Source organism: Homo sapiens, chromosome 20 (assembly GCF_000001405.40).
Source record: "Homo sapiens chromosome 20, GRCh38.p14 Primary Assembly".
Taxonomy (NCBI): domain Eukaryota; kingdom Metazoa; phylum Chordata; class Mammalia; order Primates; family Hominidae; genus Homo; species Homo sapiens.
In genome coordinates this window covers 12,243,378-12,267,226 of record NC_000020.11, presented here as the reverse complement: position 1 = coordinate 12,267,226, position 23,849 = coordinate 12,243,378, and the positions used below count along the sequence as shown (strand labels likewise).

Genomic DNA, 23,849 nt, shown 5'->3' with positions numbered 1-23,849 from the left:
GCCTTGGACATGCAGTAATGATAGCTCACATTTTATGCATATAATGACTTTGGAAAAAATTTTAGTTTTGCTCTTTGGGATTTGAAAGCATAGCTGCAAGAAAACAGTCACAAGGGGTTTGTTTTACGTATTTGCATTATCCCATCATCTGCAGTATTCAAAATCCAAAGTTTCATCTAAAAATGGACTTAGAAAGGCCTTTAAAAATCTTGCAGGAACCCACTCATGCAGGAATCCCTCATAAGCATTTATTCTTGGCTTGAATACTTCTGGGGGAAAGTGTAGATAGGGTCATTTGTCAGAATCTCATTCCCCTACAGGACCAGTACTGCTTTTCTTCCTTTCTTCTTTTCTTCCTTTCCCTCTTCCTTTTTTTTCCGTCCTCCTAACTTCACTCCCTCTCCTCATTCTCTCCCTGCTCTCTCTTCTTCCCCTTCCCTCCTTGCCTTCCTTCAACATCTCCCTTTCTTGTCTCCTTTATTCCTTCATTCCTCTTTATTACCCGCCTTGTTTCCTTCCTCCATTCCTTTCTTTTTTTAATCCTTGCTATTGAAAAGTTGTATTAATGCTGTACAAAACTCTATTCCCTTTGAGTCTCCATGCAGTTATCTGCTCAAATACTATAAGAATGAGCATACTTGGCTTTTGGGACTCTTTTTCCTAATTGCATTGAAGTCTCCATTTCTCTCCTTCCACAGTTTTCAAACGTCTCCAAAAACTCCACGGTTGCAAGTTAGATCTGGAACATTATTTTTAGGGCTTATATATTAGCTATATTTTTATTATTTAGGGACTTTATCTTCGCAAGGAAGAGGAGCTGGCCTGGCAATAATGATACAGTCAAATCTTTTGCATATTTACCATGAGCCAGATAACGTACAAAGTACTTCCAGGGACAATCTCATTGAAATCTTGCCACCTAAATGAAAGTGACAATTAGCCTTTTTGCAAAGGGAGTTTGAGAAACATGCCCAAGGCCAACCAGCTAAGAAATGACAGCATTAGGTGTTGTGTTTCTATTTATCTCCCGACTTAGTGCTTTCAACCGCTACACAGACCTGTCTTCTTATGTGTGCCATGTTTCATTTCTAAAATGGCATTCTAGGTAACATTTAATTCTCTCCAGGTTTTATAGTTAGCATTTCCTGTAGGCCCAGAAGCCTTGTTCCCATTTATGAGCTCTTCACTCCTGCAGGAGAGGTCCTCAGCATTCACAAAACCTTAAGGGAACTCTCTTGCCAGCCCATCCTTTTCTGGGCCTCTCTTCCGTCCTGTACCATGCTCCTTGCGCCCCTCCTCGTGCAATGCCTACACCCGCCCTTTCAGACCCGCATGTGTGCACCTGACCCTCTTGCATTCCTTTCTGTGAAATCACACCTGCCCTCACCCCTGCCCTCACTGGGCACCCTGCCTCAGCCCTGGCAAGCATCCTGGCCTTTGTCAGAAGTTCTCCTGTAGGAGCCTTTTCACCTCCACCGGATTATGACAGCTCCGAGGGCAGAACCCAAGCCCATGTAGTGCTTTGCCCATAACGGGCCCTCAATGCATGGATGCTGGATACATTGGGTTTTTTTTTTGAGACAGAGTTTTGCTCTTTTGCCCAGGCTGGAGTGCAGTGGCACCACTATGGCTCACTGCAACCTCTGCCTCTTGGATTCAAGCAACTCTTCTGCCTCAGCCTCCCTAGTAGCTGAGACTACAGGTGTGCACCACCATACCTGGCTAATTTTTGTATTTTTAGTAGAGATGGGGGTTTCACCTCGTTGGCCAGGCTGGTCTCGAACTCCTGACCTCAGGTGATCTGCCTGCCTTGGCCTCCCAAAGTGCTGGGATTACAGGCATGAGCCACCACACCTGGCCACTGGATACACTTTTTAATACATCTCCCTTCTTAGCATCTCTGCTAAAGGCTCAAGTGCTCCTTCTTTCCAGATCTGCACACACAGCTCAGCCTTCTGACAGGAGTATGAGTGTACTTCAATTGCCAAATTTCTTTTTAAGCTTGTCCCATCAGTGTACAGGATCACCCACACAACTTTGAATTTCTCTCAGCATCCTGTACAGAAAGGAGGTATTTAGTAAGCAGCCAACAGTATATTTTGTCCTTAAACTCCTCATTCACACAAGATCAAAAAAGAAAAACGATACTAATCCCTGGAGAGTTTCAGCTTCCAAAGGAGACGTTAGAAGATTGCTTTTGACGGAGGCTCTCAGGAGGAATTTGAACTTCCCATGGCACGTGTAATCATGAGCAAAAAGACCCTGAAGCATTTGGGCATACTTTCCTCTCTTAATAAAAGATTAATTCCCTTGTAAAAGGCTGTGTGGGAACCACTCATTACTTGTTAGTGCGGTCATTCCATTTCCTTGTGCCTTCTCTCGCCTGCTCTTGAAAGCTTTATAATGTGCTGTCAGAGGGGGTTATTCCGGGGCTGGAGGGATGCAAATGAAACCAAAGAGGAGGCTGAAGGGACCCAGATGAAGATGCCACAGTCTCCTTTCACTTCTGACATTCCTATTTCCGCTTATACAGGTTTCCATTTCCATTTTCCAGATAATCTTAAAGCAGCTTCCTCATTCTTGGGTTCTCTGTAGCATAATCAGCATGTTCTAAACACACCTACGTGCATTCTTCCTTCTGCCTGGGAGCTCATCCCCCTATTTGAGGATCTAGCCAATTTCTGATGGTGGTAGTAGCTGCTGTCACCTTTTTTTTTTTATTTTATTATTTTTTTTTTTTTGAGACCAGGTCTCACTCTGTTGCCCAGGCTGGAGTGCAGTGGTGCAACAAGGGCTCACTGAAGCCTCAGCCTCCCAGGCTCAAGTGATCCTCCCACCTCAGCCTGCTGAGTAGCTTGGACTACAGATGTGCACCAACACACCCAGATAATATTTTTAATTGTATATTTATTGTAGAAATAGGGTCTCAGTACCTTACTCAGATTGGTCTCAAATTCCTGGGCTCAAATAATCTTCCCACCTTGGCATCCCGAAGTTCTGGGATTATAGGCGTGAGCCACTACGGCTGGCCTGCTGCCATTTTTTGAATACCTCCTAATAGGCACTATGCTTGGCATATTCAGAGTTAGACTGTATAATAATCATAAATCCGGAGAAAGACACCTGCATTATTATTATTATACATCTATAATCAATAATACTATGTTATCTGATTATGTTTAATTAAGTTAATATAAAATGAAAGATACAACAAAATGTGATTAAATAATAATTCTTATTTCACAACTTAGCTTGGAAAGATTATCCCAGGTCCCTCAATTAATAAGAACTGAGCATTGGCTGGATGTGGTGGCTCACACCTCTAATCCCAGCACACTGGGAGGCCAAGACAGGTGGACTGCTGGAGTCCAGGAGTCTGAGACCAGCCTGGGCAATATATTGAGATGTAGTCTTTTTAAAAATTTTTTTTTTAAATTAGTGGGCATGGTGGTGTGCACCTGTGATCCCAGCTACTTGGGAGGCTGAGAAAAGAGGATTGCTTGAACCCAGGAATTTGAGGCTCTAGTGAGCTAGGATCTTGGGATCTTGCCACTGCATTCCAGCCTGAGTAACAGATTGAGACCCTGTCTGAAGATGAAGAAGAAGGAGGAGGAGGAGGAGGAGGAGGAGGAGGAGGAGGAGGACTGATCATTGAATTTGAATCTAGGCTTTTCTAACTCTTAAGTTCTTGCATGTAAATACTGTGCTATACTACCTCTCTATTTATCCTTCAAGGCCAAGTTGAAAGCTTATCCCTAGCATGAAGAGCCTTTTTTTTTTTTGGTGATAGCAAAGCTAGTCGAGTGTATTCTCCTTCCCCCATAACACATTTACATACGTACCTGCATAATCCAGAGCCCCCCCTCAAGGTCTATCTCAACGTTTTGTTAAAATCAGAAGAAACATCAGTGAGTTTTATGTTCAGAAATTGTAGAAAAGTAGCTAAAATCTTTTAGCAGGCTCTTTAAAAAAGGCCAAAGGTGAAATATATTTATTAAACTTTATACAAAATATGATAAAATCATTTTATCTTTTTCTCTCCTTTTCCTCTCTCTGCCTCTCTTTCTTCATAAATATTTGTATATGCAAACAAATGGTAAACACTGAAGGACTCCTGATGGATAGTAAACGAGGCAGGACTCCTGGTGGGGGTGGGTTAATCCTGTAACTAACGTTACTTTTTTAATTTTTATTTGTTTATTTTTTGAGACGCGGTCTCTCTCAGTTATGCAGCTGGACTGCAGTGGCGTCACCGTGGCTCATTGCAGCCTTGACCTCCTGGGCTGAGGCGATCGATCCTCCCACATCAGTCTCCAAGTAGCTGAGACGACAAGCACATGCCACCACCACACTTGGCTAATGAATTTTTATGTTTCGTAGAGACAAGATCTCCCTATATTGCCCAGGCTGGTCTCAAACTCCTGGGCTCAAGTGATCCTCCCACCTTGGCCTCTCAAAGTGCTGAGATTACAGGTGTGAGCCACCTCACACTGACTTTTTTTTTTTTTTAATTCTTTTTAAATCTGCTCCTTGGTTGTTTTTTCTTTGCCCTGAAAAAAAGCTTAGCAGGTCCTATGACTTATCCCATGACAAGTATGTGATAAAAATTCTCCATGAGTTTAAATCAGAAAAGTAATTAAAATGTCTAGTTCTTGTAAATGTCAAAGCTCCAACATGATTCAGTTTTGGTCAGCCTTCCTACCTGGGCTGCAGCCTGCTGCTAGCATAAGGCTACCATGGAGGAAGGAGGGGAACATGAGAAAATTTCTTTTCTGTTCCAATTTCTTCTTCTATGGCTTTCTACGCTTGTTTTCTGATTCCTTTAGGGTTTTCTGATTCTTCTAGGCTTTGTTTTCTGATTCTTCTAGGGAAAGGATACAGTTTATACTTTGCTGACACTCTCATAAGCTGCCTCTTTCCTTCTGGATAATAAATATAATATATACTATATAGCAATATCTAATATTCAATGTAGCAAATATTTGTAAAAGTTCAAAACAACACAAAGAAAGAAAAAAATGCCACCCAAAATCCCACCATCCCAAATATCCACTGCTAACATTTTGATGTATGCCATTGACATTTCATTTTCATGTATAGATGTACAGATTGCACATGCATATTTAAGGGAGGTACTTTCCCTAGACTGTCTTTTTGAAACCTTAGCAGTGACTCTCTCTATCATTCCTGAGTACATTAAATAAAGAGAACCATATGTTACCTGTTCATAATAACAATAACTTATTTTCCTTTTACGAATATGCCAGAAAATGGTAACATATAGAGATTAAGAATCTAGACCTCAGAATTAGATTTCTGGGGTCATCAGAGTATTTCCCATTTATCAACTGAGTGTACATTAGAAAATGAAATCAATTAATGTTTCTATGCTTCAGTTTTCTAATATGTAAAATAGGGATATTGTAACTTTTCATAGAGATGTTGTGAACCATAAAATATGTAAATTAGTTTATATGCTTAATGTTCTTAGAAGAGTATTCAGCAAATGGTAAGTTCTATACAACTGTTAGCTATGAAGATAAGAATGATACGATGACTATGATGATGATGGTATAATCATGCAGTGACAAATATAGTTCTTAAGAATCTTGCAATTTATTTTGTGAGGTGAAATAAATGTAAACTAAACAATTAGAGAAGATTTAAGTGTTGGTCACTTAAGCAAGGTTGAGAGATCTTTAAAAAATTAGACACAATAGGTTGGGTTTTTGTTTTCTGTTTTTTGGTTTGTATTTTTGCTGTTGTTTTTGTTTTTCCGAGACAGGGTGTCACTCTGTCACTCAGGCTGGAGTGTAGTGGTATGATCATAGCTCACTGCATCCTTGAACTCCTCCTGGACTCAAGTGATCCCACGTTGGCCTCCCAAGTAGCTAGGACTATAAATGCACAATACCACACCTGCCTCATTTATACATTTTTTTTAAGAGATGGGGTCTCATTGTGTTGCCCAGGCTGGGTCTCAAACTCCTGGATTCAAGTGATCCACCTGGCTCAGCCCCCCCAAGTGCTGGGATTACAGGTGTGAGTCACCGTACTCAGCCCACAATAGGTTTTAATAAACAACGTAGACCTTGGGAGAATTTTACCCATAGTCCAATAGCCTTGCTTGAGATATGTCTCAAGCGTGTTAAGAGTTGTTATTTTCCCTATAGTGTTTTCCATTTTCAACATTTTTCTCATCTTTTTCATGCCCCCTCAAATCCAACTAATTGTGTAGGATAAAGTGATGATAGTAAACTGCACTAAGCTGAATGAGTAAACACATTTTACCCTCCCATGAGAGAAAGCCGCATGTGACTCTCACTGATTCTATGAGCTCAACAGCCCTGCAGCCCACTGTGCATCCTCACAAGACTTTTCTATAATCAGAAGAGATTTTAAAAAGGTAAAACTGGAGTACTGGCATCATTTCCTCCTCCCCAGCTAGCTCCCAGTTGATTCACAGAACCAGGAGTGATTGGGGCATCTCTTCCAAAAGTGAGAGGACTAAAAAGAGATGGGGCAGATGGTGGAGTCTAAGAATTAAGAAGCAGAAATTCTTTAGGTAGAATCAGTCAGTATGTTGAGGGAATGTGCTAAGAAACTTTGGGAGGTAGTGATCATTAACCTGGATATTTTTAAAATGTTGGTCTGAATGTTTGCACACTTTTTGGTTCCCCTTGATTATTTCCTTTTTGTTCACTGGGTCTGGGTTTTGAAGCATGATTAGGAGTTTCTCAAGGAAAAACAAAGTAAGAGCATTCCATATAGGAGCATTACATGCAATGGGCCAGGCGCGGTGGCTCACTCCTGTAATCCCAGCACTTTGGGAGGCCGAGGCGGGAGGATCTTGAGGTCAGGAGATCGAGACCATCGTGGCTAACACGGTGAAACCCATCTCTACTAAAAATACAAAAAATTAGCCTGGCGTTGTGGCGTGTGCCTATAGTCCCAGCTACTCAGGAGGCTGAGGCAGAAGAATCGCTTGAACCCGGGAGGCAGAGGTTGCAGTGAGCCGAGATTGTGCCACTGCACTCCAGCCAGGGCAACAGAGTGAGACTGCCTCAAAATAAATAAATAAATAAGTAATTAAATATAAATAAAAGAAGTATTACATTATTACATGCAATGACATGAAAGAGGGGATACTGGCAAGTAGCTCATTACATCTTGGAGGCACTTAAATGTGGTTCCTCTATGTCAGGGCTTCTCAGCCCTGGCTGCATTGCTAGAACTACTTGGAAAACTCCAATGCCTATGCTGCACCAGGACTAATTTCAATCAGGGATTCAAAAAGCGGAACCCAGGCATCAGGATTTTTTAAATGCCCCTAGGATTATTTCAATGTGCAGCTAAAGTTGAGAACCCATCCACGCTGCTGGCAATAGCCAGAGTCCAGCCCTGTCTTGACAAGTATGTTCCTTTTCCATATGCCAAAGCCTCACACCTTAGCTTATGTCCTTAATCACAAGAGGAATGGGGTGAGGTATGGGAGGACCGAAACATGCTGGAGAGAAAGACGACTGGTTTTGTGAATCCAGAAAAGTCTGGATTCACATTTCAGCTCTGGCACTCTCTTCTTAGCTGCATGGAATTGGATCACTTACTAAGTTTCCATTTCCTTCTTTGTTCATTCAATGGGAATAATACTAGCACCAACTTTGAAGAGGTTTTGAAAGTATTTAGGGGGAGATATGAGAAGCACCTAGCACAGTGACTGGCATACAATAAGGATTCAATATATGATAGCTGTTATAGTTGCTACTTGAAAAATACTTACAATTTTAGAAATAAAATAGTGTGTGTGCTGTTCACAGGGAATGATGATATCATGGTCACATATACAGGACAGTACATTTCAAATGAATATATGTTCACAGTACTGACTTCCTTAATGTTAACACCTGCCTGTAAATTCATAAGTGCTCATAATTACGGATATTAACTCTCTAAATAGCAGAGGTATTTCCCATGCAGGATGTGATGCAGAAAATGAATTGAAAACCAATGGGCGCATTCAGTGTTGCTGTTGAGGTCTTCTAAGCAGTGTGGAGACATTATTGCATCCATTTGGAAACTATCCAGTAGAGTAGATAAGAATATGTGTTATCATCTGAGGACAGATCAACTAAGTGGCCCGAGAACTCCTTGAGTCATAAAATCACAAAATGTTTAACTTAAAAGAAATCATATAGTTCGATGATTCTAAAATATATATACTCTTAGCAGTGGAACAGTTTCCTCAATAGAAATCTTCACTGCTAATGCCTAATACTTGTAAGTGAAATTCTTACTGTTGAATTGAGGCTTATCTACTTCACTCTGAAGTGTTGTTTGGAATTCTAGGGATGTGAAAGAACACAGTTATGGTTTAAATATTTGTTCCCCTCCCAAATTCATATTGAAATTTAATTCCCAATGTGAAAGTATTGAGAGGTGGGACTTTTAAGAAGCAATTGGGTCATGAGGACTCTGCCCTCATGAATGGATTAATCCACTTATGGATTAGAAGGTTAATGGGCTAATGGATTGATGGATTATCATAGGAGTGGGACCAGTGGCTTTATAAGAAAAGGAAAAGAAATCTGAGTTAGGATGCTCAGCCCCCTGACTATGTGATGCCCTGAACCACTTCAGGACTCTGCAGAGAATCCTCACCAGCAAGAAGGGTCTTACTGGATGTGTCCCTCAACTCTGTACTTCTCAACTTCCATTACTGCAAGAAATAACTTCTTTTTTTATAAATTACCCAGTTTCATGTATCCTGCTGTAGGCAACAGAAAACAAATTAAGATATACACTTTGAAAATCACAGGTTTAGTTAGAACCACTTGTAGTAGGCCATTACTTTGATAGTACCCAGTGAAACTCACTGCTGTGCATTCCCCTCCAGCACTGGGTAGAGACTTGGTCATGTGAATGGCCAACGGGGCATTATCTTCTTGGGGTACTCACACTTTGAACCAATTGCCATGCTGTAACAAAGCTTGGACTAGGTCACTGTATGATCAGTCTATGTGAAAAGAGAGACCATGAAGAGGAGCATTAAGATGCCAGATTTGTAAGTGAAGCCCTCCTGGATCCGCCAGGACCAGATTATCATCAAAATTACTACAGCCCCATGGAGACTTCAAGTGACACCAGCAGAAGAACCACATAGCCAAGTCCAGTGCAGATTACAGAATCAGGAGAAAATAAAATGATTATTACTTTAGGCCAATACGTTTTGAGGTGAATGGTTCTATAGCAATAGATAACTGAAAAGCTATTTACTATAACCCTTATTATATCTGTAGTATCTATAACTGTGCCTGTAATTTAAAAAGTGCTTTAATAATGAAGATTGAACTAACTTGATTAACCTGTAAGTGGAAGACTCAGAAATATAATCAAAGTCTTACCATTCTGAAGTTGTAGCACATGCCACAATTGCCTGCTCTCTCATTAGTGAAAAAAATGAAAAACAAGAAAACCCTCTAAACTCTAGATATCCAATCCAGATTCCTTAACAGAGCTATCTTTTGAGGTAGAATGGACTATTTTTCTTCTTGAGACAAAAAGTCACAAATCAGAAATCAGCAGAGAATAAAAATCTTCTAAGCACTAAAATAAGATGTCTCAATACCTGTGAACTTTTCTTAGAGGAGAGAGTCTCTCTCAAAACTACATATTCTCATTTAAACAAAGTTCTATCTCAACATAAATGTCTAGAATCTTGGTCCATGGTAGAATGGGTGGAAGGGACACTTAAAGCATATTAAAATTTCAATAATGGACAAGAGGAAAACAGAAAAACTTCAGAATAATACAGATGCAAATATTTAACAATGCTTAAGAGTCTAGGACAATTTGGTGATACTAACAACTTTACCTATCATATGAATTATCACAATAGAGTAATATACCACAAGGACTAATTAGTTATCTATGGTCTTGAGAGCAACCAACATTTGATATTATCTGTTTAATAATTATTATACCTTGCAATGTGTACAACACTGGACATATGGTTATTGATCTAGTATCTATTTTGGGGGGGAAAATCATCACTTCTTACTCCACAGCCTTCCTGCTTATTCCATATGGCATAGTGGATTTAGATCCCATGACCCTAGAATAGGTCAGTAAGCCAAGTTTGAGCCAATTCGTATATTACCATCCCTGGCCACAGTGATTGGTTCAGGGATAGGCATGTGATACAATCCTGTCCCATGGGAGTTTTTCCCATGATTTTTGCCAGAGTTACTCAGAAAATTGTTCTCTTTTCCCCTGAGTCATAAGTTCTAAGGATATTCTTATGCCTGAGTAGTGGTGGTGGGGGGATGGAGATGTGCTAACTAAAGCCATTTACTTCCCTGTGCCTGAGAATAAAACTAAAAAGAAGTAAGAATTACCCAAAGATAAAAGTAAAGAAAAATTCCATTGATGACAGCTCCTAAATCTGATCTCAGTTTCAATCTGTGAACTTCTTAGACAGACAAGCTTTTATAGTCACTTTTTTTCCCTCAAGTCAGTTGCAATTATACTATATTCTCTTACAAACAAAAGTACTTTATCCTAACATACTTGGAAGTTCTCAAAATACTTTTATATTCACCATCCATTCATATTAGCCACTCCCAGTAATCTGCAAAGTGGTCTGGACAGCTGGACAATTCCCATTTCATCAATGGTGAAAATGAGCCGCCATTGTAGGGTCCTGCGGCATCCACATGGCAAGTCTGCCGTAGAGTTTGGCTGAGAAACAAAGTCCACTGCTTTCATGTCCAAAGAATTTCCCACTTCGCTGATGTAATAGAATTAGTTTCCAAAAATGTCTATGGATAAGATAGTGTCAGGGATTAAAGAGGTAGAAATGTAGTTATATGGAAGGTACTATTACCCTCTTAAATACAGGAAGTATCACTACTAGGAAAGGAACTGTACTTCCTTTGACACACTGTCAACATTCTGGGATTACTTGCAGTAGGAAAATCAGCTCAGAAGGTTTTTGTCTCAGAAAGTTTTATGCTGCACTCCCCAAATGCAGAGCCTGAGATGGGGATTCTTGTGCAAAGTGACCATTGGGTGGGGCACTCTGAGGAGAAGGAGAATGAGTGATGTGGGATAGGACAGTGAAGGAGCCAAGTAAGGATGTGATGTCAGCTAAAATCCAGTCTCAGCCTGGCCCACAGAAAGCTCCAGAGTGTCACTGAGTGACCACCCTATGAATCAAATGGGGCCAGCTCTGCACCTTGATATCAGTCAATCATTGGGTCCAGGCTGCCCCAACTTTGAGGGTTAAAGGGAATAATCTCCAAGTATTTCTGGGAAAGACAGCTTCTGTTGATTAAGATGATTCTCTCAGGAAGACAAACGGAGGACAGCTATGTGCCTTTAAGAAGCAACATCCATGGTAGCTGAGCAATGCATGTATCAGCCCTATAAACGGACTCTGGGTGGCACCACAAGGTCTACTCAGAAGTCCAAGTAGGGCTCAGCCTAAGACTCAGTTCTTTCCTGAACTTCTGTGAAAATATGTTATGCAACACAGACCAAGCATTTGTGAAGTGGCATCCAACGCCAGGCTTGGGTCCATATGCAGTGGTGGCATGTCTTATCCAAGCATTATGTTGTAAAGTAAATGTAAGAGATGAAAATAGCATGAAGTCAAAATTACCATAACACATGTATATGCACATGCATACACACATGTGTGTATACATGTATATAAAATGAATAAAATAAACTATACATAATGAAGGATATATATATATTTATAAATAAATTTAACAGATTAAATTTTTATTTAATTGGATTACACTATATATGCCAAGAACCAGGTCAAACCATGCTTGAAAAAAATGAAAAGATTTAGCTAGAAATCTGTCATATCAGCGAGTGCTCAGTCTGAGATATTTTCAGCAGAGCATTTCTGACAGAGGCTCTAACCTGCATGCTTTACCCTCACAATGAATCTTTGACTTGGGTCTCAATGTTTTGCCAGGGCTACAATCACTACCAGATCTGGTGGTTAAGTATTATTGTCTTAAGCCTGCAAACCACAGATGAGGCTTTTATAAGTCTACAGGGAAAAAGTTATGTGGCTATTGGAGGATTTATTTCCTTCCTTCCTTCAAAAGAACATTATTTCCTCTTAGAATTTGAGAGGATTTTGCAGAGGATGAATTGTACCCCTACCCCATTGGGTTAAAAAGAAATCATTTTTCTTTATTTTTCAAAATCAAATAAACTGTATTCTCCTGCCTGGTTGATGGAGAATTCCTTCCCATTGTTAAAATATAATTTTCAAGAGGATAAAATAATTATCAGGTAAATATAAAATGAACATGGGTCAAAGATTTATTCAACTTACTAATTACTGAGAGAAACAGTATGATGTTAAATCCAGCCCAGCAATCTTATCCTAACCTGCCTTTATTAACTCACCTGTTATAGTGAGTTCATAAAGAAACCACCTGTAATGGTTCCTGTGGGTCAGGGAGTCCATTATGGCTCAGTTGGGTGCTCTGCTGAGGGCCTCGCAGGCTCCAATCCAGGTGTCAGCTGGGCTGTGTTCTGTTCTGGATCGTGGAGTTTTCTTCCAAGATCACATGGTATTTGGCAAAATTCAGTTTCTCATGGTTTTCTTGTTGCTGTTTTGCAATTCAAGACTTGTAATTCAAGTCTCTATTACAGGTGAGGTAATAAAGGCAGGTTAGGATATTGCTGGGTTAGATACAAAATGTGTTAATGCCTACCAGGGTGATAAATCATACCCTTTGAAGTTATCTGCTCCACTGTAGAAATAATTTGCATCTGTACACTGAACAAAAATTTGCAAGATACAAAGTAGCTTCACTACGTCTGGGACTTCTAATCCATAGGGAACAATTAGTTAAACAACATGTATTGCCTAATCCCTGGGTGGACTCTTTATTCCTGTATGACACTGAATAATCCAGCCTTTCACCTTTGATCTTACATCCAAGTTTGGAATGATTTTTGTTAATGCTCATCATTACTGAGGCCCTCTGTCTCTGTTGATGGCCTCATGCAAGAATTGCGGGTCTTTTAGAAGCTATGAAATAGGAAAAGGGCCAGGCCTTTGGCCCACTACGTCATTGACTTTACCAGTGCTCCCCTGTGACCTAATTCTAATGTCATTTCTGGCCTGTACCTTGCATTACCTCGGTGTGAGGGACAGACCCTAGGCTAACTCCCAATGACTACCACTTCCTGGTATCCCCGCATTCATGTAATCCCCTCCTCTTAAGTGTGGCTGAGATCTGCAACTTGCCTCTAGCCATTACAATATTGCAAAGGTAAAGTGATTTTGGCAGAGGTAATTCAAATCCCAAGCGAGCTGATTTTGAGTAAAGAAAGATATTCCAGGGTGGGCCTATAATGATGAGGTGAAAGCCCATATAAAGGGGGACTAAGCCATCTCTGAGGCAAAAGATTGTTCCGCTGCCTTGAAGAAGTCAGTTGTCACATTTTAAAAGGATCATGTGGTAAAGAACTGCAGGTGGCACATAGGAGATAAGAGTGGACCCACCTGACAGCAGCAAGAAAACCAGGAGAAACTGCATTTTGCCAAACACCATGTGATCTTGGAAGAAGACCCCAAGCTCCAGAATGGAACACAACAGTGTATTTCCTAAAAGCTGGAGCTGTCCTTAGAACATTTCTCTTCTCTTTTTCCCTCCTCCTTCCAAAATTTCGTAAAAATAGGGCTTTCAGGTTTGGTGTTCAAGGAAAAAAAAAAACTTACTAGGAGTTCCAAAGACGAAGATGATCAGGGAAGAATAATTAATAGAAGCCCTTAGGAGGCTGTCTTGGAAAAATGAGTTGTTTGGAAAGAAGGGTTGCCCCTATTATAACATCTTGCTTTGGCTGTGGTACATTTGCTACAAAAGAGCCAATTCTAAAACATTATTGTTAGCTGACATCTTGATTGCAGCCAGTAAGACCCTGGGTAGAGCACTCAACTGAGCCATAATGTACTCCCTACCCACGGAATCCACCATGAGATATTAACTGTGTGTTGTTTTATGCTGCTAAATTTATGGCAATTTGTTACAAGCAATAGGGAACTAACATACTCAGAGGCACGCCACACATGGTCTATTCCACTGACAGCGGACCTGCTGACAGAATTCCCCTCCAATGCTCTCAAGGCCACAATGCATGTTTTCAGCCACCTTTAGCCACCAGGGTCAATTCCTTCGTCTTTGGTATGCAAACCAGCCTCGTCTTCCATATGCGAGCCAGCCTGGGTCTTCGTCTTCCGTATGCAAGCCAGCCTGGGTCTCTGCCAGACACAGAAAACCCTCAAAACTTCTTTTTTTTATCTGACTCAGAGATCCATTCCCATCATGCCCCCTCTCCAAAACAACTCTTATTTCCATGACAGCCTGCTATGAGATTCTGGGTCCTATTATTCTTCCCTGATCATCTTCCTCTTTGGAATCCCTAGTAAAGTTTTTCTCCTTGAACACAAAACCCCAAAGCCCTATTCTTATCAATTTTTGGAAGGAGAAAAAAAGAGAAGAGAAATGTTATAAGAACATCTCCAGCTTGTAGAAAATACAGTGCTGTTATACGGAATGGGCACAAGCTGGAAGCATTCCTCTTGAAAATAGGCACAAGAAAGGGATGCCCTCTCTCACCACTCCTATTTAACATAGTATTGGAAGTTCTGGCCAGGGCAATCAGGCAAGATAAATAAATAAGTGGCATTCAAATAGGAAGAGAGAAAGTCAAACTATCCCTGTTTGCAGATGACATGATCCTATATCTAGATGACATAACCCCATCATCTCAGCTCAAAAGCTTTCTAAGCTGATAAACAACTTCAGCAAAGTCTCAGGATACAAAATCAATGTGCCATAATCACTAGCATTCCTATACACCAACAACAGTCAAGCAGAGAGCCAAATCAGGAATGAATTCCCATTCACAATTGCCACAAAAAAATAAAGCACCTATGAATACAGCTAACTAGGGAGGTTAAAGATTTCTCCAAAGAGAACTACAAACCACTGCTCAAAAAAATCAGAGATGACACAAACAAATGGAAAAACATTCCATGCTCATTGATAGGAAGAATAAACATTGTTAAAATGGCCCTACTGCCCAAAGCAATATAAAGATTCAATGCTATTCCCATTAAACTACCACTGACATTCTTCATAGGATTAGAAAAAAACTGTTTTAAAATTTATAGGGAACCAAATAGGAGCCCAAATAGCCAAGGCCATCCTAAACAAAAAGAATAAAGCTGGAGGCATCATGCTACCTGACTTCAATGTATACTACAGGGCTACTGTAACCAAAACATCGTGGTACTGTACAAGAAAGACACAAAGACCAAATGGAACAGAACAGAGAACCCAATAATAAGATTGCACACCTACAACTATCTGATATCCAACAAACCTGACAAAAACAAGCAACGAGGAAAGAATTTCCTATTCAATAAATGGTGCTAGGATAACTGGCTAGCCATATGCAGAAGACTGAATGAAACTGGACCTCTTCCTTACACCATATACAAAAAAATAACTCAAAATGGATTAAAGATTTAAGTGTAAAATCCAAAACTATAAAAACCCTGGATGACAGCCTAGGCAAAACCATTCAGGAAATAGGCACGGGCAAAGATTTCATGATGAAGATGCCAAAAGCAATTGCAACAAAAGCAAGAATTGACAAATGGGATCTAATCAAACTAAAGAGCTTCTGCACAGTGAAAACAACTATCAACAGAGTAAACTGACAACCTACAAAATGGGAGAAAATTTTTGTAATCTATGCATCTAACAAAGGTCTAATATCCAGCATGTATAAGGAACTTAAATTTACAAGAAAAAACCAAACAACTCCATAAAAAAGTAGGCAAAGGACATAAACAGACACTTTACAAAAGAGGACATACATGTGGCCAACAATTATATGGAAAAGAAAGCTCAGCATCACTAATCATTAGAGAAATGCAAATCAAAACCACAATGAGATACCATCTCACACCAGGCAGAATGGCTATTAATAAAAAGTCAAATAACAGATGCTGGCGAGGTTGTGAAGAAAAATGAACACTTATACACTGTTGGTGGGAGTGTAAATTAGTTCAACCATTGTGGAAGACAGTGTGGCAATTCCTGAAAGACCTGGAGGCAGAAATACCAGTCGATCCAGTAATCCCATTACTGAGTATATACCCAAAGGAATATAAATTGCTCTATTATAAAGACACATGCATGCAAATGTTCACTGAAGCACTATTCACAATAGCAAAGACATGGAGTCAACCTAAATGCCCACCAATGATAGTCTGGATAAAGAAAATGTGGTATATATACAATATGGAATACTATGCAGTCATGAAAAAGAATGAGCTCATGTCCTTTGCAGGGATATGGATGGAGCTGGAGGTCATTATCCTTAGCAAACTAACACAGGAACAGAAAACCAAACACCACATGTTCTCACTTGTAAGTGGGAGGTAAACAATGAGAACACATGGACACATAGAGGGGAACAACACACACTGGGGCCTTTTGGAGGATGGAAGGTGGGAGGAGGGAGAGTCCCAAGAAAACCAACTGATGGGTACTAAGCTTAATACCTGGGTGATGAAATATTCTACACAAAATCCCTCATGACACAAGTAAAAAACCTGCACCTGTACCCCTGAACTTAAAATAAAAGTTAGCAAAAGAAAATATTCCAGCACCATTTAAATGTTTTTTATTAGCATTAGTGCATATTACAGTAACTCTCTTTAAAGCGCTTAAACTCACCTCTCTTTACAGGGTGAGTTCTTGTAATATGCACTATATAACTGGGCTGCAGGAAAGTCTTTTGGGGCAGAATCACAAAATAAATGGGCATTATTAACACTTCCCTGATGATGCACTTTGCATTTCCTAAGACCATGAAAGAGAAAAAGAACCAGAGGCAAAAATGTGGTATTAGTAATAATGAATTGGAGAGCATGGAGGCAGGGGAAGATGGAAATATTCCGGGTTGGGAGAAGTTTCCTGAGAGGGTTTCAAGGAAGTGAGTTTTGGAGATCAACCTGTTGGTGACAGCAGGCCCAGAATTTGCTGATTATTGTCTTTGCACCAGTTTTTCTCAGATTGCCTACGCATTAGACTCACTTGGGGAGTTTTTGAAAATCCCATTGCCCAAAACATACTGCAGACCAATTAAATCACAATTTGGGGAAATAGAACCAAAATGTCAATATTTTTTAAACATCACTATATGTTTAACATTGCTGTTTTTTTAAATCTTCCCAGGTCATTTTATTGTACAGCCAAGTTTTAGAACCACTGCTTTACACTTTCGTCCTCTGTTCAAAACAGCGACTTTCACGAATTGGCACTTAAGTTTCACTTGGAAAGGCTGACAACACCCAGATTCCTGGGCCTCATCCCCTACAGTTTCTGATTCCATAGAATGAGAGGGAACCCAGGAAAGAGCATTGCTAACAAGCTCCCAGGTGATACTGATTGGAGGAGCATTCTGGAACAGCAAAGGCTACATTTTTTACCTTAATGAAATTACAGGCATATATTTTAATAAGTAGTTAAACTATTAATGATTCATAACTGTATGTGACCTGTTTTGCATGTATGGGCTCCTTAGAATTAAAAATTGCAGATTCTACACTAATTTTTAAATTCTCTTGTTCCCTAAACAGCATGCTACTGAGACCAACTGCCTCCAAGGGAAAGACCTTTGCACAAAGACAACCAGGAGAGATTCAACTCTTCTGTACACTTACCCCAGTGCAACTGAACTCTCCCTGCACATTAGGGTTTCCCAGGGATCATGCAAAAGATACTAATGTTTGGTTTTCACCCCTGGAAATTTTAATTTATGGAGTATGTTCTATATAAAATTAGACTTTATCTCTTAGGGCAGTTTTAGATTTCCAGAAAAATTAAACAGAAAGCACAGACTTTTCATATACTCTCTCCCCGCCTTCACACAGTTGCCCCTATTATTTTCATTTTGCTTTGGCATGGTACATTTGTTACAAGTGAGCCAAAACTGATACATCATTGTTAGCTAAAGTGCATAGTTTACAATAAGATTTACTGTTTGTGTTATACTGTTCTATGGGTTTAGCCAAATCCATAATGTCATACATCCACCATTTCATTGCCCTAATAATCCCCATGTGTTCCACCTGTTCATCTCTCCACTCTTTCCTCCAAATTCCTAGAAATCCCTGATCTTTTTGGTGCCTGTAGCTTTTTACCCTTTAGAGAACGTCATATAGTAGGCTTTTCTGAGTTTTTCTTTTCCACTTAGCAGTATGCACTTACATTTCTTCCATACGTTTCTATGGCTTGATAGCTCATTCCTTTTATTGCTGAATAGTTCATTGTATATATGCATATAGATGCACATTTGTATGTTTGTTCATCTATTCAACTATGGAAGGACGTTTTCCATTGAAGCCTCCACATTTGGCAATTATGGATAAAGCTGCTATAAACATTTCTGTGGAGGGGTTTTTGTGTGGACATATGTTTTTAAATCATTCGGGTAAATACCAAGAAGCACTATTGCTGGATCATATGGTGAGACTATGTTTAGTTTGTAAGAAACTGCCAGGCTCTCTTCCAAGGTGGCTGTACCATTTTGCTTTCCCACCAGCAATGAATGAGGGTTCCTGTTATTCCACATCTTCACCAGCATTTGTTATGGTCAGTGTTTTGAACTTCAGCCATTCTAATAGGAATGTAGTGATAGTCTATTGTTTTAATTTGCAATTCCTTGATAGCATATGATGTTGAGTACTCTTTTATACGCTTATTTTTCACTTGTATTAGTTTTCTGGTGAGGTGTCTGGGTGATAGCATTTTTTAAAAGTTTCCTAGGTGGTTTTATTCTGAAGCCAGAACTGATGATTACTGAAAGCTGGAACTCCCAGAGACCACTAGACATAGAGCTCCTCTTTGCTCTCTTGACTTAAGGGAGGTAAACTTGATAGCATTCTTGTATCCCACCAATATCCTATCAGCTTTACTGTCATAGAGAACAATGGCTTGATTTCCAGATGCCCTAGGACTCTTTCTGGCTTCCCAAACCTCTCTGCCTACATACAGGGCAGGCTGGAGGTGACAGAGAATTAATCCCATCTGTCCCGAGGAGCAGCCCTCAACCAATACAACTGATAGGAGTTGGTGTGTAAATACTCCAGCTCCCTTGCCCTTCTAGTGGGATAATTCCAAATTGTGTTCTACATTGTCTCCTGAAGTTTCCCCAGCAGGATTGGGTTCCACATTGACATATATTTTATTCCCTGCTTTTCTCTCCCCCTCACCTCCCCACTCCTCTAACTTGGATCACTGAATCCAAGCATCTCCTTGGATCACTTCCAGAATAAACTACTTGCACATACATCCTTATCTCAGGATCTGTTTCTGAGGGATCCAAACCAAAACAAGCTCTGTATAGAGAGTAAGTGATGGAGGAAATTGCTCCAGGATATAAAAAAGGAAGTTGAATGGAACTAGGAAGGCATATAACAGATACGTGACTGGACATGGATATTCAAACAACACAAAATTCGGAGCCATAGAGTAGTTTTCCTTCTATTACTTTAGAGTCCTGTGTCAGGAACTGGTCACTAGATCTCTTCAACTATTTGCTAATATTCAAAAATATGCAAATAAGTCAAAACCTGTTCTCGTTTTACCATTTTCACAAGTTTAATTGGTCTTCCCTGGGTTCATTACAAAGCTGAGGGTGAAATTGAGGGCTTACCTTATTTTATTTTATTAGGGTATAGATTTCCAGGGAGGAAGAATGAAAAACAGGAAGAGTCAAGAAAGGAAGTTGAAAAGAGCCTGCGTTATAGAGACGGCTGCTGCTGGGGAGACCGATTACTTAATCATGGACTGAAGCCTTTGGAAGCCATATAAGCTACAACCCAGGACTGATGAGGCTGGGTGTAGCAAGAAAGAGGAAATCATGCAACTACTGGCTCCCATCACCAATGGCCCAAAGGCCAGATTCCAGAGGACGGTTACTGGGAAAAGTGGACAGAGTTGATCTTCTCATGGTTGTCTGATCTCTCACGCCCAATAATGAAGAAAATGGAGGGAAATGGATGGTGACCTCAGACTCAATCTTTCCTTCTCACTTCTTCAATAGGTGGAGTGTCCTGACTTTCCAGAGGCCCATGTAAGGTATTTTATATACTTTGTAAGAATTTAGCAGCTTTCTTAAGAAAGGAAAAAAAACTGGGGGGTGGAGGGCAGAAATGAGAAAGTCAGGGCTTCCTTGAGCTGAGCTTCTCTGGCCCTGATATCACAAGGCATGCTAGCTCCACGAAACTCTATTCTAGAATTGATTAGGTCAGAACCATTGCCTGTGAACTCATGCAGCTACTCCATCATAGTGTGAAGAAAGGCACAATCTTCCTTCCAGAAAGAAGTTCTATACCGACAAGGAATACAAGGCAGTTCAATTATGTCATAATTGATTCTAATTGGTCCTCCCATGGGCTGTTAAATTCTTCATTTGCAGCCTAGTAGCACATTAGGGAACTTAACACCTCTAACTTGCCCTGGAAAACGAGAGAAGTTGTTTAAAAAGACAAAAAAAAACAACAATGGCAACAAAAAAAACCCCACCAGGTAGTTGAGCCTGGAAAAAGAGAACCCCAGTGAATAAGTAGAATGACAGCCATTTCAGGAGCAGTGTGGAGGAGCTCTCAGGGGGAAAATGCAAAATTTCAGGCTGCCTTCTAACTGCAGAGAAGAAAAAAGTTATTGAGGGATTATTGTTGATAATCATGGAGCGTTTCTTAAATTGACAAAACTTCCAAGAACTTTTTACTTTCCTTCATTTCCCCAGTATTTATGGACTCCATCTAGTTGTCAGGTGCTGGGTCAGAGCTGAAGATGCAGAGTGAAGGTGACATACATAGAGTCTGGCATGGGAGAGCAGACTCTAAATGACACCAGGACCTGAACTGTCTGGAAGAGCATGTAATGAAGAGGAGAAGTGGAGAACTGGGCAGGAGTGCTTCAGGCAGAGGGGAGAGCAAGTGTAAAGGGCCACAGGTGAGAGGGGACACAGCAGGTGCAAGTGACCGACACTGCTACATTTTACCTGAATCCTCTGCTCCTGGGCAACAGCGAAGGTTCAGTAATCCCTTAGTCTTTTGTGTTCAGAACAGTCTGCTACAAGGAACTTCCCTTCTCCATAGGACATAGAGAAGACTCAAGGATGACCCGTGACAAAGCTAGGCATAGACACAGGCCCTCCAAATTCTTATGCTTTGCCTTATAAATGATTAGCTGAACTGTTTGTCCTCACCCACCAGTTGTAACAAAATGTCTGTTAATCAAACCTGAAGATTTTCTCTCCTTTCCCCAGGTCCCTGTACTTTGGTCCTTCTTCAGCCCAAGCCAGCATGCAGACCTTCTTCAACAGCAGCTCCTGAGAAGAGGCCACTTCTGAAACCACTGTCACATCATCCCACACTCTTCCATCCTACTTCTGAGTCACACTAGGCTCTTTCTAACCTTGCTCACCCTCCATAAAAGAAAAATGATTTTTGCCTAACTCTTGAGAAGCTTGCAGATCTTGCGGTCAGAGCATTCCTCTTATTCTAATAGTCTTTCCCTGTACCCTTATAATGCTCCTTTCCAGTGAAGTCCCTCCCTTCCTGAGTCCTGATGTGTTTTTTACTTGACATGGCTGAGCATGGGCACTGGTAGTTTTTTTTGTTTGTTGTTTTTTTGTTTGTTTGTTTGTTTGTTTGAGACTGAGTTTCACTCTTGTTGCCTGGGCTGGAGTGCAATGGCGCAATCTCAGCTCGCCACAACCTCCGCCTCCTGGGTTCAAGTGATTTTCCAGGCTCAGCCTCCTGAGTAGCTGGGATTACAGGCACCCGCCGTCATGCCAGGCTAATTTTTGTTTGTTTGTGTGTTTTGTTTTGTTTTGTATTTTTGTAGAAATGGGGTTTCACCATGTTGGCCAGAGTTCTTAAACTTGACCATGTACCAGAATCCCCTGGAGGCCTTGTTAAAAAACACAGATGTTGACCACTGCCCCAAAGGTTCAGATTAACTAAGTCATGGAGGACCCTGGCATTTGCCTTTCTAACAACTTCCCAGGAGAGTCAGGCTGCTCAATTGGCACCTCACCTTCAGATTCACTGTAGAACCCAACAGAGAGAGGAAAGTGATGGGGCAGCTGCTGGAACATGCAGGAACATGGAGACTTTAATCTCAGGGAAATGAGGAACCACAGAAGCATGAAAACCAGCAAGCACTTAATCACATCTGCCTGTTTTGGAAATCCCTCCATCTAAAGCTTGGAGGACAAACTGGAAGGAACAGAATCATGGAAAGTAGCTTCCCATGAGGAAGCTGCCTCATGGTCCAGGTGGGAAATGACAGTGGCTTGGCCTGAGGTGGGCAGTGCAGTGCCAGTGATCGAAGAGAAGCAGAGATTCAAGTGGTTTTTAAGCAGCAACAGGCATGAGGCTCAGGGGCTGACTGGAGGTGGAGAATGAGGAGGAGAAAGGAGTCACGTGTGATCCTTAGCGTTCAGGTGATAAATGGTGTGCATTATGCCAGGAGGAAAGCCAAGAAGAGGAGAAGCTCAGGAGGAAAAGCTGAGGCTGTTGCTACCTGGAGTTTGGTCTGCTGGAGAAACCGGGAATGAGGATGGACAGTAGGCAAAAAGAAGGTTCTGGAGGGTCAGAGTTTGGTCCGGGCCGGTGAGTGGCTTAGAGACCATCAGTGAAATACATATGGCAAGTGAAGCCGTGGTAATGGGTGATGTCACACCAAAGAGAGGACAGAGTCATAAGGAAAAAGATGAAAAGCAGACAAATAGAGGAGGGCCCTCCCGGGCCCAGACTAATGCCAGCCTCAGTGCCTTTCTCAACACAGTCTCATACTTTTCATGCTCCCATTTTCCTCATAATTTTACAGGACTCCGTTTTCTCTCCCCTACTAGAATCTACCTGGATAACTCTCCCATTTATTAGTAGTTTGTGCCAGCTTTTCCAGGCAGTGCTTATTTTTCTTGGAAAAGGTATTTGGCAAGATAAACCATATTTATTTGTGAATGTTTATTTTTTAAGCTATAAAAAGAAAGTTGACCAATATGAGAAATGTCTTCTCCCTCTGCTCTTTTCTTCTGGTGCCATGCAACAGATAGAAGAGTCAGAGTTGAAGGGCCAACCCAAGGATGAAGGCACTGCCCGCCCGCCTGTGGTGGGCATGTGGATGAGGAATCCGTGCCTGCACATAGCACTCAAGATCCACCACACTGACTTCTTTAAGGGAAATAAAATGGAGCTCTCTGCCCCAGAAATTGTTCATCATATGGTTGTGCATATTTATATAGAGACTGTTATATTTTTAGTTGGAAGAAGGTGGGTTTTTTTCTCAGTTTCTATGGTAAATTGCTTGTAAAGTTTGCATTTGTATAATGAAAGTAATAACACTGAATCGGTCCATTTGCCCAAGCAGGAAATGCACCCTATTGTCAGGTTTCGAAATACATGAACCTTTAAAAACAGAAGCCATATGAATGGAAAAACATGGAATGCTTTTTTAAAAAATGTAGTATCCTCTGACATGAAGTTAAAGTCCCCAGATGCTCCCAACTGTACAGTTCCCTGGGGCAGTGGATGTGCACTTATTCTTCTTGGGGAAGTGGGGAGCAGGGCCCTTCCCGCATGACTCAGCTCATCTTAGACTTGTGCTGTCCGATGGGGAACAAGCCGCACATGGTTACTGAGCACTTGAGATGCGGTGAGTCCACATTGAGATGTGCTGTAAAAGTCAAACCCACACTGGATTTGGAAGAATGTAAACTAT

At 40.8% G+C, this 23,849-nt stretch overlaps 1 long non-coding RNA gene across 2 annotated transcripts; it reads left to right on the top strand.

Moving 5' to 3' along the window:
- Window positions 1-19,784: 19,784 nt before the first annotated feature.
- On the top strand, window positions 19,785-21,547 carry LOC107985406 (uncharacterized). 2 transcript variants are annotated; one of them, XR_007067530.1, is made up of 3 exons: window positions 19,785-20,192; window positions 20,863-21,071; window positions 21,388-21,547. It is a non-coding gene; the product is annotated as an uncharacterized LOC107985406 (long non-coding RNA). The 2 variants fall into 2 exon arrangements; XR_001754498.2 differs by having other exon boundaries at window positions 20,069-20,192; window positions 20,863-21,547.
- Window positions 21,548-23,849: the final 2,302 nt, after the last annotated feature.